This window comes from Homo sapiens, chromosome 3 (assembly GCF_000001405.40).
Source record: "Homo sapiens chromosome 3, GRCh38.p14 Primary Assembly".
Taxonomy (NCBI): domain Eukaryota; kingdom Metazoa; phylum Chordata; class Mammalia; order Primates; family Hominidae; genus Homo; species Homo sapiens.
The window spans coordinates 122,620,821-122,639,423 of record NC_000003.12 but is presented as its reverse complement, the minus strand read 5'-3'; the positions used below and the strand labels follow the sequence as shown (position 1 = coordinate 122,639,423).

General features: G+C 41.6%; 1 protein-coding gene across 16 annotated transcripts in view, besides 1 other annotated feature; it reads right to left on the bottom strand.

Moving 5' to 3' along the window:
* Positions 1-376: 376 nt before the first annotated feature.
* Positions 377-18,603, bottom strand: part of PARP15 (poly(ADP-ribose) polymerase family member 15) — a 61,398-nt gene continuing 43,171 nt past the window's right edge. For 10 of the 16 annotated variants that reach the window (NM_001113523.3, XM_011512476.4, XM_005247160.5 and 7 more), the window contains 5 exons: positions 17,813-17,980; positions 12,391-12,597; positions 7,205-7,338; positions 4,230-4,404; positions 377-3,613 (listed from right to left, as the gene is read on the bottom strand). In NM_001113523.3, coding sequence (NP_001106995.1) covers positions 3,324-3,613; positions 4,230-4,404; positions 7,205-7,338; positions 12,391-12,597; positions 17,813-17,980 — 974 coding nt within the window. In that variant the 3' untranslated portion in view covers positions 377-3,323. The remainder of the gene's footprint in view (positions 3,614-4,229; positions 4,405-7,204; positions 7,339-12,390; positions 12,598-17,812; positions 17,981-18,603) is intronic. The other 6 variants (XM_005247159.5, XM_047447580.1, XM_017005791.3 and 3 more) reach the window with 1 other exon arrangement.
* Positions 3,132-4,331: an enhancer, noted in NCBI's record as "CDK7 strongly-dependent group 2 enhancer chr3:122353940-122355139 (GRCh37/hg19 assembly coordinates)". NCBI's record gives its function as "activates an origin of replication core promoter dependent on BRD2, BRD4, P300/CBP, MED14 and CDK7 cofactors, with strong dependence on CDK7, by STARR-seq in HCT116 cells {active_cell/tissue: HCT116}" and the evidence as "EXISTENCE:reporter gene assay evidence [ECO:0000049][PMID:35650434]".

The window sequence follows — 18,603 nt, the reverse complement described above, 5'->3', positions numbered from 1 at the left end:
CTCCCAGGCAGCTGGAACCACAGGCATGCGCCACCATGCTGGGCTAATTTTTTTATTTTTGTAGAGATGGGGTCTCCCTATGTTGCCCAGGCTAGGAGTCCTTTCTTGTTCTAACATGGCTCACTAGAATTCTGCACTGGTATTGAGAACCAAGGCCCAGGCAGGAACTGCATTATTTAACCATACTTTGTTCTCTGGGACTATATTTCCTTCAGGCGTGCTACAAATTGCAGCAATAGAGCATTTTAACTGTCTTGTTGAAGGTAGACTAGGATCTTTGCATCTCATATTCTAACCTCATATTTATCAAAAATATAGGTACCTTATTTTGACATGACATGTAGGTAGAAACAGGCAATGAAATACGGTGCAACCATTAAAAATGATACGTAAAATATTTAATGACGAGGAAAATGATACACTGCAAGATGAAACTGATTATTAAACTATAAATAATGATGATTACATTTTTAAAAACTTTATAATTCTATATACATAAAATAGGGAAAGATATAAAGCAGAATATCTCTGCCATTAAAATTATGTTTACAGAAAAAATAAGAACACAAGAGAACAACTTGTAATGTTTAATGAAAAATGGTAGAAATATGGGATCTAATTAAACTAAAGAGCTTCTGTACAACAAAAGAAACTACCATCAGAGTGAACAGGCAACCTACAGAATGGGAGAAAATTTTTGCAATCTACTCATCTGACAAAGGGCTAATATCCAGAATCTACAATGAACTCAAACAAATATACAAGAAAAAAACAAAGAACCCCATCAAAAAGTGGGCAAAGGATATGAACGGACACTTCTCAAAAGAAGACATTTATGCAGCCAAAAAACACATGAAAAAATGCTCATCATCACTGGCCATCAGAGAAATGCAAATCAAAACAACAATGAGATACCATCCCACACCCGTTAGAATGGCAATCATTAAAAAGTTAGGAAGCAACAGGTGCTGGAGAGGATGTGGAGAAATAGGAACACTTTTACACTGTTGGTGGGACTGTAAACTAGTTCAACCATTGTGGAAGTCAGTGTGGCGATTCCTCGGGGATCTAGAACTAGAAATACCATTTGACCCAGCAATCCCATTACTGGGTATATACCCAAAGGATTATAAATCATGCTGCTGTAAAGACACATGCACACGTATGTTTATTGCGGCACTATTCACAATAGCAAAGACTTGGAACCAACCCAAATGTCCAACAATGATAGACTGGATTAAGAAAATGTGGCACATATACACCATGGAATACTATGCAGCCATAAAAAATGATGAGTTCATGTCCTTTGTAGGGACATGGATGAAGCTGGAAACCATCATTCTCAGCAAACTATCGCAAGGACAAAAAACCAAACACCACATGTTCTCACTCACAGGTGGGAATTGAACAATGAGAACACATGGACACAGGAAGGGGAACATCACACACCGGGGCCTGTTGTGGGGTGGGGAGAGGGGAGAGGGATAGCATTTGGAGATATACCTAATGCTAAATGATGAGTTACTGGGTGCAGCACACCAACATGGCACATGTTTACATATGTAACTAAACTGCACATTGTGCACATGTACCCTAAAACTTAAAGTATAATAAAAAAAGATTAAAAAAAGAAAAATGGTAGAAATAATATTATATGATTTGTGACAGAACAAAATGTGATTTTGACTTTGTTGAATTTGGACAGAGAAGAAACTGGAAGGGAGACATGAGAAATTGGCAGTGGTTTTCCCTTAGTGCTGGAATTATGAGTGAGTTTGGTGAGTTATTTTTCTTTATACTTTTCTGTTCTCTTTAAATGCGCATGTAATTTATTTATGATAATGTAAATACTTCTTAAATGTCTGTAACTCTTCAAAAGTGATGCTTCAGGATAAATGAGCTGCTAAGCATTTTAAGAATTTACGTAACTCTAATATACTGGAGGGAAGGGATGGATCTGAAAGGCTACCATCAGTAAGAGGAATAAAACTTGCTCTGTGTCCTCCAGAAGTCTGGACAGTGATCAGCAGGTAATAGACACAGAGGAACTGATTTCAACTTTTGAAAAAGAGTTTTCCACTAATTAACACTGTCCCACGGCGGAATAGGTTCCCTGAAGATGTTGAGTGCTGAAAGTGATCAAGCAGAGGCTAGAGGGCTTCTTGCCTGGGAGCAGGGGAGGGTTGGGGGAGAAGGACAAGAGGACAGTGGGGTAGGTGACCTCTAGCATCATTGTCACTGCTAATATTCTATCTGTGCATTCATTTGCTCATTCACACAGCTTCCAAGATGGCCCCCAATGATCCTTGCCAGTGGAGTATTCATGCCCTTGTGCAATTCCCTCCCAGACTGAACAAGCTGATCAAAATAATCAACAGGATACTCGTGGAAAAGATGGTGCATGACTTCAAACATAAAGATTTGGTAGCTTCTGCCTTGCTCTCTCTTGAGTTGCTCACTCTGGAGTAAGCCAACTGTTGTGTCATGAGGACACTCAAGCAGCCTGTGGAGAGGCCTGAGAGGAGAGGAACTGAGGACTGCCAATACCTGACAGAAACGTGCCAGGTATGTGAGTGATTCACCTTGGAAATAGACCTCCAGCCCAGACAAGCCTTCAAACGACCACATCCCCTGACATCTTGTCTGTAACTTCAGAGAGACCCTAGCAGAATGATCCAGGTAAGCCATGCCTGAATTCCTGACCCATAAAGACTGTGTGGGATTAAGTCACTAAAATTGGGGGTAATTTTTTAATATTAGATAACAATGCGATACATTTTTACCTGAAATGTAAACAGGTAAAATCTGTTATGATTTGTTCCATAACAGAGTTAATATTCTGTGATTCAGTCATTTCAGCTGAACTATTGACAAGTTTTCCTTAATAAGGCAAAATCCCCAACTGTGATAGATGCATAACGGTAGCCGCTCCACTTAAGCAGTACAGTTTAACCCGCCACCATTCGATGTCTTAACATGTTCCAAGAAGAACAATGTCATCTTGGTTTTAAGGTGATGCATCTTGTTTTTTTCTGATAGAAAAAGAATAATGTGCTTTTTATTCTCCTAGAGATTTGGTGTCTGTGAATGGTTGTAGCTCTGTGACATTTACCATACATTTCTCAGCTTCCACCCATCAATTTGCTGAGAAAAAAAGGTATGCTACAAATCGCAGCAATAGAGCACTTTAAAAAGGTAATTTTCAGCATTTTGGCACCTAAAAGGGAAACTTTCATCTGCTTACACAGGCCAGAAGCAAAGACAAAGATTGCATGTTGTTCTTACAGATGACTTAAATCATCTCTTTGATGATAAAAATATTTTTAAGCCGTGAAAGTTATGAGATATTCTGGGTAAGCCTGATTATCAAAGAATACCACAAATAGCTTTGGAGATCGTGTATTGTTTGTCACTGAGTCAAAGAGATCTGTGGGATTGTGAGGATTCTTGGGTGGAGGGGTGACTAATCCTGCACGTCCCTTTGTGAAGACTCCAGTAAGTACTCGCACAACGTACATGTGCTTTCTCCCATTGCTGTCTGGCTTGGAGTAGGTGTCCTTGGCAGAATAACTGGCATCCACAGCAAAATAGGTTCCTTTTCCATAGGATACAGCTGGAAAGAGAAAGACAAAAACCTTCCTAAGAATATAAAATTACACAATGTGTAGAACCATGCCCAATCTGACAAAATTGTTTTCTAAATGCAGTTTTAGCCAGGTGTGTTGGCTCATGCCTGTAATCCCAACACTTTGGGAGGCTGAGGCAAGAGGATTGCTTAAGGCCAGGAGTTCGAGACCAGCCTGGCTAGCATTATGAGACCCCTTCTCTACAAAAATAAAACAAAATTATTAGCCAGGCATAGTGGTGCATGCCTGTAATCCCAGCTACTCAGGGGACTGAGGTGGGGGCATCATTTGAGCTCAAGAGATCAAGGCTGCAGTGAGCCATGATCTTGCCACTGCACTCCAGTTTGGGTGACAGAATGAGACCGTCTAAAAAAAAAAGCCCATTAAAAAAAAAACTGCACGTTAAAGTTATTTTTCATCATTTCTAAAATTCACTCCATCTTCCCTTAGAAGGTTGCCAGTCTCCTTTACAGTGAAACACAGTGAGCTCTATTCTGACAGTGATAATACAGCTGCCCACCATGGTTCCACACTGCTTGGGTATGAAAAGTCTGAGACTATTGTTTGCCTTATTCTGATCAGCCAAATTACTTGCTTCCTTACCATTTTTCCCAGCACAACTTCTATTAAAGCCGTGCTGATTGACATATGGCACTGAGTCTGCATCTGTCCCATGGAAGAGGAGTCTCTCATTATTCTTATGGTCATTCTTGATATCCATTTGCCTTTTCTTTACCTGGTAGCTCTGCCAGAGAAATGCATTCTGTATCCTCTCAATCTGCAGGTAACAAAAGACAAAATATTTCAGAAAGGACCTTGGGGCTCAGTATATTGTACTTGTTGTGGATTTAAAATAAGCAATATGAAAAAGAAGGAAGAGGAAGAGAATTTGGTGAAGGAAAAGGAGAAGAAAATACAAATAGACAGCAAATTCAGAGAGTAGGCAGCTTTCTGCCTTTAGAGAAAGATGGGCTAAAAGTATCTATTAGTGTCTATGCTTTGTAATAGTGCTTGTTGGTATATATTTTAAATAACATAATTTGCGGTTTATATCTAAATGATTACCAACATATATTCCCTGGAATTCCTGGAGATTCACTGACATTCAAACACCTACTCAAAAATTTGTAGTCATTCAATAGCCATGTCCTTAACTCCTCATCTTCCAACTCATTCCATGTGGCTTCTCCTCATAACAATTCTTTCTGTTATTGCTCCAATTATGGTCACAGATCACCTCATAATTGCCTAATCTTATGACTATTTTTTTCTAGACCTCTGAATAGCATTTCAAACCACGAGCCATCCCCTTCTTAAAACTCTGCTCTTCTTTCACTTCTTTTCAAAATATCACCCTCTACTGGTTCTCCTTCCTCCTAGGAAATGGAGTTAACATCCATTCAGTCATCACCTACTGAACATCTCTATGAATCAAGTTTGTGTTGGGTCTCTGTCCTCATGAAACATTCAGTCTAATGGCATGGGGGTGGTGGGCAAGACAAGAAAACTAATCACTACTGCTCAGAGTGATAAGGGATGGTCAGGAGAACACACAAGGGGCTATGAAAATATAGGAAGGGGCTCCAGATAACCTGTGTCTGGGGAAGGAGGAGGAAATCTGAGAGGATGATGTTCTGGAAACAGAGGAAGAAGAGAGGTTCAAGAAGAATGGAGTGAGTACCTGGGCAGCTGTTGAGGAGAATCCAAGCCATAAAAGCAGGTGAGAAAGTTGTTCTGCTGAAAGTAGTGGAGGCCTCCGGGAGAGTAACGAAGGTTTGCAATGGGGAATGTGTGAGGGGGTTGACTGGAGGAAGCAATGAAGGATTCCAGGAAGCCTGGAGGGTCCAGCTGAGGCTGGGGACCATGAATTAGTAAGGATTTCATCTAAGAGCAGCAGCAGAGAAGGTAGGTTATGGGACTAATCCAAAGTTGGGGGTTTTCAAAAGAAGTATGAGCCAAGAAAGTCACAGATATTGTGTAAACACAATTGAAATGAGGTTCTTGCACTTCTTGTACAGTCATCCCTCAATATCCATGGAGGATTGGTTCCAGGACCTCGCAGATATCAAAATCTGAGGATGCTCAAGTCCCTGACATAAAATGACATAGTACTGTATTTGTATTAATATATAATCTACACAATCCTCCCATATACTTTCAATCATCTGTAGATTTCTTATATTACTTCATAAAATGTATTAACAAATACTATGTAAATAGTTGTTATATTGTTTAGGGAATAATGACAAGAAGAAAAAGTCTGAAAAAAAAAAAGAAAAGGTCTGTACACATTAAGTACACTCAACCATCATAGGCCTCACCACACTTTCCATCCGAGGTTGGTTGAAATCATGGATGCAGAACCTATCGATTCAGAGGCCCAGGACTGTACTTCCAACAGCTTTTAACACCACGAGGTATCTCCTCCTTTAAATTCTGTCCTTCCTGCAGGATGTCTCTATCTCCTGGCTCCCCTTTCTCAGGAATTAAGCTCATTCATTCAATCAAGTTTACTCAACACATATTGTGTCCTACTGTGTGCTAGACAGCTTCCTAGGTACTGAGAATGAAGAAATGAACAAGATGCGACTCCTACCTTAAGCAGCTCACTGTCTAGTCGGGGAGCCAGGTATGTGAAAAGTTATCAAAGTACCTTATAAGTGCTGTAATGTAAGTACATAGTTACAAAGTACCACTTTATAAGTGCTCCAAGAGGTAAGTACACAGTTCTATGGAAGCGGTAACAAGATTTTAAATTACTAGGATGCTACACCCTGTTCTGATACACATGGTATGATAATGACCTCGTGATAAACCCCTATAGTTTACTAATATTTTTATGCAGCATAGTGGACATTGTGGTAATCTTCTAAACATGCATTCTACCCCATCAGCAACCTCTGGTTTGAGTGGGATTGGCCCTACTTATAGTTCTAGGATGGAGTCTAATTAAGTTAAACTGATCAGGATTTCAATATGGATCACACATTGATGGGATCTGATAGCTCAGGCCCAAGCCAACCAGAACAAGGTATTCCCTAGACACGGAGATGGTTGCAGTAGTTGGGATTCTCGTCCAGTAACTGCGGGACAGGACACAGTTGTCTTCTATGGGTTGTGAATGAGAAAACAGAGACCCCCTAATTGCTGCCAGCAGCCATCCAACAACCACAAGGAGAGTCCAGCCTTAAAACAAAGCTGACACAGAGGACAGCAAAGTTGGAGCAACTGGATCCAGGACACCATCAAGCCGCTGGATCAGACTTCTCCAAAGCCCATCCTACTTTGGGACTTTCCATTAATTTCCAACACAGTTCTCCTTGTTTAATCAGTTTGAGTGGGTTGGTTTGTGACTTGCAACTGAAAGTATCCTAACATACACATGTGACTTGGAATCTCCTTCATTACTGCTAATGAATAAACTATGAGATTTGAAGTCTATGGAACTTGAGTAAGTCTAATTCCAGTTAAAATAAACATAGTAAGGTACAAAGGAAGGAAGGGTGTTATTTAAAAAGAGATAGCTTTTATGTTAGTTCATCAACATTTTTGAACAGTAAATTTTAACACAGTATTACCTTCTCTATTGCGTAGGAAGAACAAGTTCGGGTGAACTTGTCCTTTATGGTATTATATTCTGATTGTCCTGGCTCTAGCTGGACCATGCAAAACAGCTGATGATTCATGTCAGTCCAGTGTTCAGGAAGATTACCTGGAAAGTCAGCATTTGGTCAAAACACAACATTCATTTCCAAAGACCTCTGAAAATCAGGGCACCTCCTCTGCACTTGTCTCTCGTCATCCAAACCTGGTCTTTAAAGGAGAAGTTACACATTTCACAATTGCTTCTTCTATTATCCTCAGTTGAGTAAATCCAGATGAAGTGAATGGTCTGACACAAATATGACACAATATATTCATTAATGCTCTAGATAAAATATTTAGATAAACTTAGATCCACTGTAGCTTGAAATTGTAATTTTCCCAGAGATTTCTATGGAATTAATTTTGTAAGAAACTAATATGTAAACATGAATGCTAATTTATAGATGCTTTTGCTTTTATCAGTAATATTTAATGTAGTTCTCTTCTATTTTTTGAAAATGATTACCTTGCTAAAGACATTTAAAGCACATTGTTCTGTACCCCATCTTATACACCAAGTAGAGAAAGCACCATGTAAAGAAAATAGCAGATGTGCTGAGAGAATGCTTTCCCATAAGGTGATCATGCCCGGGTTTCCTTTGTTTTCAGTGGCTTCCTGGAACTTCTAAAACACCAAGGCTAGACATCAACTTGCTAAGATAGCAGGACTAGTGTGAATACGGACACCCTGCATTAGAGATACACCACCACAGGTAAAAACCAAAGGATTTCTTCCTTACAAACAAAGCCACAATTTGCTCATTTTTAGTGAAAGATATACCTGGCCTGAGAGAGGGATCCAGGGCACTGTCTTCCTGTTGAGCAAGTCCATCCAGGGTAAGTTCTCGTGACACAGGGAGGCATCTAACCCTAATCAGTAAGCTCTTTTCAAACTCCATTTTTAAAGTCATTCTGGCAGTTTCCCACCAATAAGGTGCGTGATTTCTGAAAGCTACATTCCTTCCTTTCCCCACTGTCCATCTCCTTCAGGATCTTTCTGCCTAATCATTTCTAGTCCAAGGCCTTACAGTCCTTTTGGATCTGCTGCTTCCTTTCCCCTGAATACAGCAGGCAAGCCTGGGAAGTAAGGAGGTGAAGGTTTTTTGGGGGCCTTCTATTCCTTTCATGCCCTGAGGCTGGAAAGCAGGAAGCTATCAGGACTTGGAATCAGAAGAACAGATCAGCCTCAACCTGTGACCAGCCATATGACATTGAACACATATAACACCACTTCTGGGTGAGTTTTTATTTTCTCATCTGTGTAATGGGAATTATAAGATAGATCCCATGAGCTCTATCTACCACCTCATGGGATTGTTGCAAAGTTAAAATATAGTAAGGAGTCTGAAAGCGCTTTAGGAAATGCCAAGTCTTTTGTAAACATAGGGTTATTATTCTTAAAAACCAATTAAGCTTGATATTTTTTACATCCCAGAGGTATTTGTATATTATTATTAATTATTATTATTATTTTGAGACAGAGTCTCACTCTGTTACCCAGTCTTGAGTGCGGTGACACAATCATGGATCACTGCAGCCTTGACCTCCTGGGCTCAGGCAATCCTCCCACCTCAGCCTTTCCAGTAGCTGCAACTACAGGCACATGCCACTATGCCTCGCTATTTTTTTTTGTAGAGATGAGGTTCTGCCATGTTGCCCAGGCTGGTCTCAAACTCCTGGGCTGAAGCAATCCTCCTGCCTTGGCCTTCTGAAGTGCTGGGATTACAGGCATGAGCCACAGCGCCCAGCTGGTATTTGTATATTAATAAGGAATAAAGCATAAAGCCAAAGGTATTTTCTTGAGGGGAAAGACATTTAAATCACACCCTTAAGCCACACCAAACCATGCTATCTACTCCAACTTCTATGTACAAAAGGTGACTTCGGCTAGACAATTTAGAGGAGAGAAAACAGAGTCCCAGGAATACTCACCCAGCATCACATGGAAGGTCATTATCAAAGTAAGGAGCACTGTTGACTTGCAGCCCACGGCTTCACAGAAAATAGCATGATAACTACCCTTTTAAAAGTGTTTCCATGTGCTAGGCATTTTCCTGAGCCCTCTTCCCATACAGCTCTTTGAAAAGATTAGTGTTTTTTAAGACAGGGGTCCCCAAATCCCAGGCCACAGACTAGCACTGGTCTACAACCTGTTAGGAAGCAGACTGCCCAGCAGGAGGTGAGCGGCAGGCAAGAGAACAAAGCTTCATTTGTATTTATAGCTGCTCCCTATCATTCACATTACCACCTGAGCTCTGTCTTCTGTCAGATCAGTGGCAGCATTAGATTCTCATAGGAGCTCAAACCCTATTGTGAACTGTGCATGCAAGGGATCTAGGTTGTGCACTCCTAATGAGAATCTAATGCCTGATGATCTGACACTGTCTCCCATCACCCCCAGATGGGACTGTCTAGTTGCAGGAAAACAAGCTCAGGGCTCCCACTGATTCTACACTGTGGTAAGTTGTATAATTATTTCATAATATATTACAATGTAATAATAATAATAACAAAGTGGACAATAAATGTAATGCACTCGGACCATCCTGAAACCACCCCCTTCATAACCCAGTCCGTGGAAAATTTGTCTTATATGAAACTGGTCCCTGGGCCCAAAAAGTTTGGGGACCACTGTTTTAAAAGATAAGCTCTACTTTCAAATTCCTGGTAGTTCAGGATAAATGCCCTCACCTGTGGGGGTGGGATTAAAAACCAAGATCCCAGCTGAGCACGTAGGCTCATGCCTATAATCCCAGCACTTTGAGAGGCCGGTGGGTGGATCACTTGAGGTCAGTAATTTGAGACCAATCTGGCCAACATGTTGAAACCCCATCTCTACTAAAATGCCTGTAATCTCAGCTACTCAGGAGGCTGAGGCAAGAGAACTGCTTGAGCCTGGGAGGCAGCGGTTGCAGTGAGCCAAGATTGCACCACTGCACTCCAGCCTGGGCAACATAGTGAGATTCAGTCTCAAAAAAACAAAAACAAATAAACAAACAAGATCCCTGGTTCTGCCCCCAGTCTTCCTCTCCTCACTGTTTATTCTCACACTTAAGCCAATCACACTTAAGGACTTCAATCCCACCTACTCACATGACTTCCCAAATCTATATTTCTAATATCTGATATATACTTGGTGCTCAATAAGTAATCTCTGGACTCAATAAATAGCTTTAACATACATTTGAAAAGTAATTGTGTATCATCTGCACAAATGAAACTCAAAGCTATCCTCTTTAAGTTCTTTTTGGAAAAGGGCTATATGATAAATCCTTACTAAAATTCCAGTTTATCTGAGCCAACAAACTTCCTTTTATCTGATATTTCATCTGTATTATTCCTTTTCTCTAACAACAAAGATGACGTAATGCAGTTGTATTGTGGTTTGTTTTTGCCTCGGGTGCCAGAAGTTCAGGTTGAAATCAGTCTTTCACAGCACTGACAACCCTGCTGTCTCAGAGGGTCAGTTGTCTGCTCATTTTAGTCAGTTTTTTGTTTGCTTCTCTCTTCAACTACACTGTTTTGTTTTTTAAATTTGTAAGTCAGTTTAAAATCTCGATGAAAGCAAAGAGTGATGAACCAGTTAAGCTTTATTTTTTACTTTACTGATAATGACTTATTTACTGTTCTTAAATTTAAATAAAAATTTTCATCTACAAGGACCAAAGGGAAAAAATGTTAGTTTATATATCCCTAGATACTATAGTAGGTACATACTATTTTTAACTGCCCAGTATCCTTTTCTCCTCTTCTGGTAAAAGCTTTCTGAATTTCCTCTGGGGAACAGCTATTCCCCATTGCTTCGGATGGTGACCCCCTCTAGCTGAAGTGTGGAGCATGTGACTCTGGCTTGGCCAGTGTAATTCCGGTTCCCTGCCTGCAATGATAACCTAAAATGGTCCAATCAGAAAGACTCTCAGCGCTTAAAAGAGCTCTGTTCCCTGGCATCATGTTCCTGATGATGACTGTATATCTCCACTGGATATACTCTTTCCTCTTGAAACTGAGTATGGAAGGATGTAGGCCTAAAGCTGCTAGCAGCCAGCTTTCACCATATGAAGCTTGAGGAAAAAGACAACATAGCTGAGAAGAGAATGAGAGATGAAGAAATTCAGGGTCTAGATGATATTATTATATGAGCACCTGGACCAAACTGTACCTGAACCCAGGAATGTGTGGGCTTTATAATAACATGAGTTATTGAATTCTGCTTTTTGCTTAAGCCAGTGTAAGATGGACTTTCTATTATTTGCTACTGCAAGAACTTTAACAGATCCAACTATTATATTCATGTTTTTATTGTGTGTGTCCTACATGTATTGTGTGTTGTAGCACACCAAGGAGAATGCTTGTCAGGAAATAAATGTAGAGAGAACTGACATTTCTTCTGACAGCAGCAGACAATCATTCTCAGTTTAGGGAGGCTGTTGATGGCATATGTGCCTTATCACTAGCAAAACTCACAGTGCTTTAAGGGTGAGTGCTCCAAATGGCTGAAAATAGTGATTGCAAGAGGAGGCTGCAATCCTAGTTATTTTAATAGCAGTACAAATGCCACAAAATAGGGGAAAACGAAATCAGAGGAGGAACAGGTTGGTACAAGTACTTAAAGTATAAACACACCTTACAGAGTAGCAGCTGGGGATCTGGAATCTGTCTGGCTGCTTGTGATGTAGTACACCCAGCTGACCCTAGCCACTCCCTTCTTACATCTGATTCTATTCCAGGCTAACATGTCTATAGGGGGATGATTAGCAGACCAATATTAATCAGCTAGTTCACAGCTCCAAGAGGAAATGAGGGTCAATACCAACCAATCAATAAATATTGGCTAGAATTTGCAAAGCCTCCTCCCCTCTTTCTGCTTCCTCACTTCCATTCTCTTCCTGTTTATTTACCATTCCTATTTCCCAGGCATGATTTTGCCTCTCAGGAAAATAATCAGTTGACAGGAGGTTGCATTCTCTAATTTTTATACTTTTCCCATGGATCATAAGAAGTTGTCTGAAAAGTCCTAAAACGAATAGAAAACTATAAACTCAGTGTACATTCACACTTAAACATTTTCTAAGTGATTATCAGAGCCAGCAGGGTGATTTTTAAAAAGTGAACATCTTACATGTAGTCATGGAGAATGTGGACTGAAAGTTCAGTGATGCAGAGAGGTCTCTTTTTTTCATGCTGTCGTAGAATATATTTAGCAGCTCAGGTTGAAAAATGACAACTTTAACTGTTTTTAATGATGGGGTGGAATGTTGTGATGAGAAGTCTACAATAGCATCGATTATGTTATCAGCAACTGTGATAGGGTTTTTTCCGGCATTTCCTGAAAAAAAAATTTAATGACAAAGAAGTTTCCCCCGATGTTGCTAATATGATGAAATATGGCAAATCCAGTTCTCAGTGCTGAGAAACAGGAAAGCCCCTCACAGCCAGGAATTGATCTGACACTCACAGCTAGTTGGTGTTCTTTAGCTGAATACAAACAATTTCATAGTACATCATCCATGTAACCACTCTGACCATGATGAATTAACACAAAAACAAGACTACTCCATAATTGTGTCTTATCGCAGACAAAAACATAAACCCTGCCCAAATCACAGAGATGGCCAAATATCTCCCTATCTTGACTAATAAGAGTGCCAGCTGCTAGGCCAGGTGCGGTGGCTCACGCCTGTAATTCCAGCACTTTGAGAGGCTGAGGTGGGTGGATCACGAGGTCAGGAGATTGAAACCATCCTGGCTAACATGGTGAAACCCCATCTCTACTAAAAATACAAAAAATTAGCCAGGCGTTGTGGCGGGCACCTGTAGTCCCAGCTACTCGGGAGGCTGAGGCAGGAGAATGGCGTGAACCTGGGAGGCGGAGCTTGCAGTGAGCCAAGATCGTGCCACTGCACTCCAGCCTGGGCGACAGAGCAAGACTCCGTCTCAAAAAAAAAAAAAAAAAAAAGAGTGACAGCTGCTGCATTACCAATCATACATTTAGCCAGAATGCATCCTCCTTCCTTCTAGATAAGATACCCAATCATAGAATTATGTCTGTTTCCTAAAAGTCTCTGATCCAGAGAAAAGCCCCACTTACTTGAGACTGCCACAAAATCACCTAAAACAAGCCCAAATCCATTAAGTCCTTTCTAACACTCTCCTACTGAGATGCTGCAGAGGTCCCCGTAGTGTGTGTTCCTGGTGATCTTTAGCTGATGGGCATTGGCAGTGCAGAAATAAGAACATGTGATCTGGATGCAGAAGAGCTGAGTTTATGTCCTGGCTCCACTACTTACTAGCTGTCTGATCTTGGGTAAGTCATTTGATCCCTCTTGAAGTTAGCTAGGGCTGCGGTACAAAAAGCCATGGACGGGGGGCTGAAGTAAGAGAAACTGATGTTCTCATAATCTTGGAGGCTAGAAGACTGAGGCCAAGGTATCAGCAAGGTTGACCCGTAGATGGCTGTCTTCTCTCTGTGTCTTCACATGTTCTTCCTTCCATACCTGGCAGCGTCCTAATGTCCTCTTCTTATAAGGACATTAGTCATATTAGTTTGGGGCCCACCTTAATGGCCTCATTTTAACTTAATTAGCTCTTTAAAGACCCTATCTCCAGGCTAGGTGCTCACGCCTGTAATCCCAGCACTTTGGGAGGCCAAGGCGTGCAGATCACTTCAGGTCAGGAGTTTGAGACTGGACCGGCCAATATGGTGAAATCCTGCCACCACTAAAAATACAAAAATTAGCCAGCCATGGTGGCGGACACCTGTAATCCCAGCTACTCGGGAAGCTAAGGTAGGAAAATCACTTGAACCAGGGAGGTGGAGGTTGCAGTGAGCCAAGATCGTGCCACTGAACTCCAGCCTGGGTGACAGAGTGAGACACTGTCTCAAAAAACAACAACAAAAAAACAAACAAAGAACAACAACAACAACAAACAAAACCCTATCTCTAAATCTGAGGTACCAGGGTTAGGACTTCAACATATGAATTTTGGAGAGACACACTCAACCTATAACACCTCTACACTTCAGTTTGCTCAGCTAGAAATTGGGGGTAATAATAGAAGGTAATAGGGATAAGAATATGGTAGGTAAGAATAGAGTAATTAAGAATATAATAATGGTAAAAAAATGTAATAGTAAAAAAAAAAAGTAATGGTAAAATTTGTGCAGGATTTGGGACCAGGCTGCATGGCTTTGAACCTAGCTCTGTTGCTAGGTTGAACCTACCCTCAAGTTCCTCATCTACAAAATGGGGACACAGAGTATAGGATGGATCCAGGTTTTGAAATTTACATATCTCAGAAAAAGAATAAGTATACAATTATGTATAATGGTGAATATTTAGAATCAGAAAAGAAACCACAACAAAGTGTATCTTTTAAAATGCTGAAAATTAGATTCCTAACGCAACTTTCCTTAGCTGTATCGCATAAATGTTTACAGCCACCCCAGCATCACTCAGTGCAAGGGGAAGTATGAGACGTCAAAGTGGGGGAAACAGTGGTCTTAATTCATGATGGTTAAAATATCCTACTTTTGAAATTTTACTAAGTCATATAACCAGGTGAAGACATTATTAGGGCTCCTCTCAGGATCTTTTAAAAAGCCTGTGCAAGTGAAGTCTGATCACTTAAGCTTCATTATCTTCACAATAAACTTGTCTTTGCTAATAGTTTCCATGTCACAGGTATGAAGACCAACCCTCCCAGTTTCCCCAGAGCAGAGAGGCTGCCTGCAACATGGGACTTTCTGTGTTAAAACCAGGAAAGTCCTGGTCAAACTCGAAAGAATTGATCACCCTATATAAGGTTACTGTGAGGAATACATGAGCTTTGACATGTAAAACACCTAGAACGTACAGTAAGGACTCAATAAATCTTAGCAATTATTAATATTACTAATACAACTAATGTAGCTATTCCAGCTACTTCATAGGAGTTTAGTGGTACTCAAAATAGACTGCGTCTAGTAAGCATTTATTTTTTCTTTCTTTCTTTTTTTTTTTCCGAGATAGAGTCTCACTTTGTTGCCCATGCTGGAGTGCAGTGGTGCAATCTCAGCTCACTGCAACCTCTGCCTCCCGAATTCAAGTGATTCTCCCACCTCAGCCTCCTGAGTAGCTGAGACTAGAGGTGTCCGCCACCACGCCTGGCTAATTTTTCTATTTTAGTAGAGACAGGGTTTCAACATGTTGGCCAGGCTGGTCTCGAACTCCTGACCTCAAGCAATCAAGTGATCCACCCGCCTCAGCCCCGCAAAGTGCTAGGATTACAGGCGTGAGCCCCTGAGCCAGGTCTGAGAAACATTCCAAAAATGTCCGTTGAAATCAATGGGGAAGAGAACATCCATGAGCATCTCTGAAGGCATCATCAAAATCACCTGTTATTCATTCCTCCATTCAACAAAATTTAATGGGCAATGATTCTTCACTCAACACGGGGCAGAGAAGACATAAAGATCTGGTCCTTCCCTTTTGAGGATCTCACAATGTATTCACAGTCGAAGAGGTGTGGCACAAGCATTTCATGGCCTCCCACTTCCTCCTCTGGGGCTTTGCACTTACTCTCCTCCAACACTTACGATTATTGGTTGGTTCTTTTGCTGACTTTTCTGCCCTTTCCCTGCCACAATCTACCTGTGGGCATTTCTCACTGTTCTGGTCTCAGCCCTCTTCTCTTTCTGTATGCAGTCCCTTGACAGGCTCATTCCACCTATCCAGTTGCAACCCTTCCCACTATGTGGCTGAACACACCTACACCTGTGACCTCTGCATTGGGTATCATTCTTGGTTACAATGTCTTGCATCTGTTCCAAAATCATGAATTCCTGAAGGGGCCAGAGCTTACTCCACTCTGTTTGCCCAGTGCCAAGTAGCAGAGTGCTTGCCCTGGGTGATGGGAACAAAACAATTTGGGTTTGTGAGAGCTGTAATTTGCCAGATGGTGTGGGAGAAGCTCCAGATCGGGAGAAATGCATGAATAAAAGAAACAAAAAGTGGTAACAAAATGCCTGCAGCACGTTCCCCCTGGCTTCCCTATTGGCCTCATTACCGCCGATAGCAAAAGGTTATAACAAAAGGTTATCGGTGTGTGGAAGCCAGGAAGAATGTACTGCAAACATTGCAGGGTGCCCTGGGGTTCATACGAGAGGGACCTGGGATACCTGCAGGAGCATTCTGTTTTAATCTGGGAAGAGGAAGGAAGTCTACAGAGTTGAGCTAAAATGATGGTGGTGGCTGTAAGACCAGGAATTTAATTGCTGAAAAACTCTCTTAGATTAATGGTAATCTGTGGCTACATACTATTAATACTTCCCAAATAAGAAGCCCTCACTTCCATGAGAGTGACAGGGGACATGGATGTGAATGAATCAGGAAGTGAGTGACCAGTAGCACTGTCAACTAAGAAGAGCAAATGACTGGATGATATGACAGAGATGAGGAAAGCGTTCCTAGAAACTGTGAGCAGGACAAACCTGAGTTTGTTGCTCATGGGGAGTGACTGCATCTTACTCATGATTTTCTCCCCAGTGCCTTGCACAGAGCCTAGGTAACGGCATTTCAATTCAATGAATGAATGCACAAATGAGGAGCCGGCTGGGAGATGCTGAAGTAAACCAGATGGGGGAGGTCTGAAGAGTTTGGAAACAAAAAGAAAGGCTGGAATTCAACAACTCTCTGGAAGAAGATTCAGCAGGACTTGCTGACTGTGGGTGTCTGGGGACACAACAAAGCAAGGATGGCAGGCCAGGGCAGCTGGGAGCGTCATGGCACCACCAAAGGAGGAAACGAGAAAGCCCAGGAGCTCAAGAGGAGTGTCTGTTTTCAAGAGAGGATCATGAGTTTGGATTCTGATGTAATGAAGTTTCTGGTAATAGAAAACTCCCCCAGAGGAGATCCTGGAGAGAATGAGAAATGCTGATTTGGGAGTCAATGCAGAAATGTTACCAGACATGAGACTGAATGAATCCCCCAAGGAGAAAAAATGAAGAGTGAGAAAACTATGAAGTTAAGGACCAAACTTGGAAAGATACTTAGGGAACATAAAATAAAGAAGAAAGGGGTGGGCACAGTGGCCCATGCCTGTAATCCCAGCACTTAGGGAGGCTGAGGCAGGCGGATTGCTTGAGCCTAGGAGTTTGAGACCAGCGTGGGCAACATGGGGAAACGCTGTCTCCATAAAAAATACAAATATTTGCCAGGCATGGTGGTACACACCTGTGGTCCTAGCTATTTGGGAGGCTGAAGTGGGAGGATTGCGTGAGCCTGGGAGGAGGAGGTTGCAGTGAGCTGAGATTACACCACTGCACTCCAGCCTGGGCAACAGAGTGAGACTCTGTCTTGAAAAAATAAAGAAGAAAGATGGAGGAAAGAGGCTTCGGCCCAGTAGCTGGTGGTGCCCTCCAGATCTAAAAGATGGCTCCCTCTCTGATTTACATCATTGTTCCCACTTTCAGATGGATTCAGCACTGATCTGCTTAAGAGTGAGACTAATTCTAAAGGAATTTGTATCACTCAAATTTTATTATAGAATGATAAGCTGCAAACCTGTTCCAATGGCTGGAAGGGAAACCGATGTGTACTTCCTCTGTTCACACTCTTCTAGAACACTGGTGACCGTTTTCCTGACATCTTTTCCCCCAGGAACATGAATTATTATTTTGCACTTTAAGCATCCACCTGGTGTAATTATAAAATCTCTGTGAGGCTGTGCAGCTGAAAAAAAGGAAAGAAAAACAAACATGCAGCCCATTAATTACTGGAGGCAACACTTTGATTTTTGAGAAATGAAAACAGCTGACATCCGTGAAGGCTGTGAAGCCCAGTCTCACTCGAGCTTGTTGGTTTCATTCACTGGACTGTGACAACCACATTTTCTTTACAATCAGAATTCTCGAGCTCAACAAATACACTGTTGAGTATTTGGGGTGCTGTTCAAAAGTACTTTATCTGCATCAATCTGCTCAATCCTCAAAACAAGCCTATGAGGCAGGTACTGTTTTCCCCATTACACACATGAAACAGCCACAGAGAGAGGTAAGGTCAGTAGCTAAAGATTGCCTAGGACTCGAACCCAAGCAGCCAGTCTCCATAGCTCTTAACCCCCACTCTGCTGTCCCAGAAGAGCAATTTCTATGCACATTCAGCCACATTAATTTTGAAGGAGATAAAAGCAACGTACTCTGTGGCACAGAGGTGTGAAAGGATGAAAACTTCTCCTTGGCTCAGGACCCTAGAGCTCTTGAGCACATGGAAATTATGAGGGCCATTTTAAGGCACTGCTTCTTTGGTTCAGACTGCTCTGAGTAAGGCTGGGGCCAGCAAAAGGGAGGAGGAGA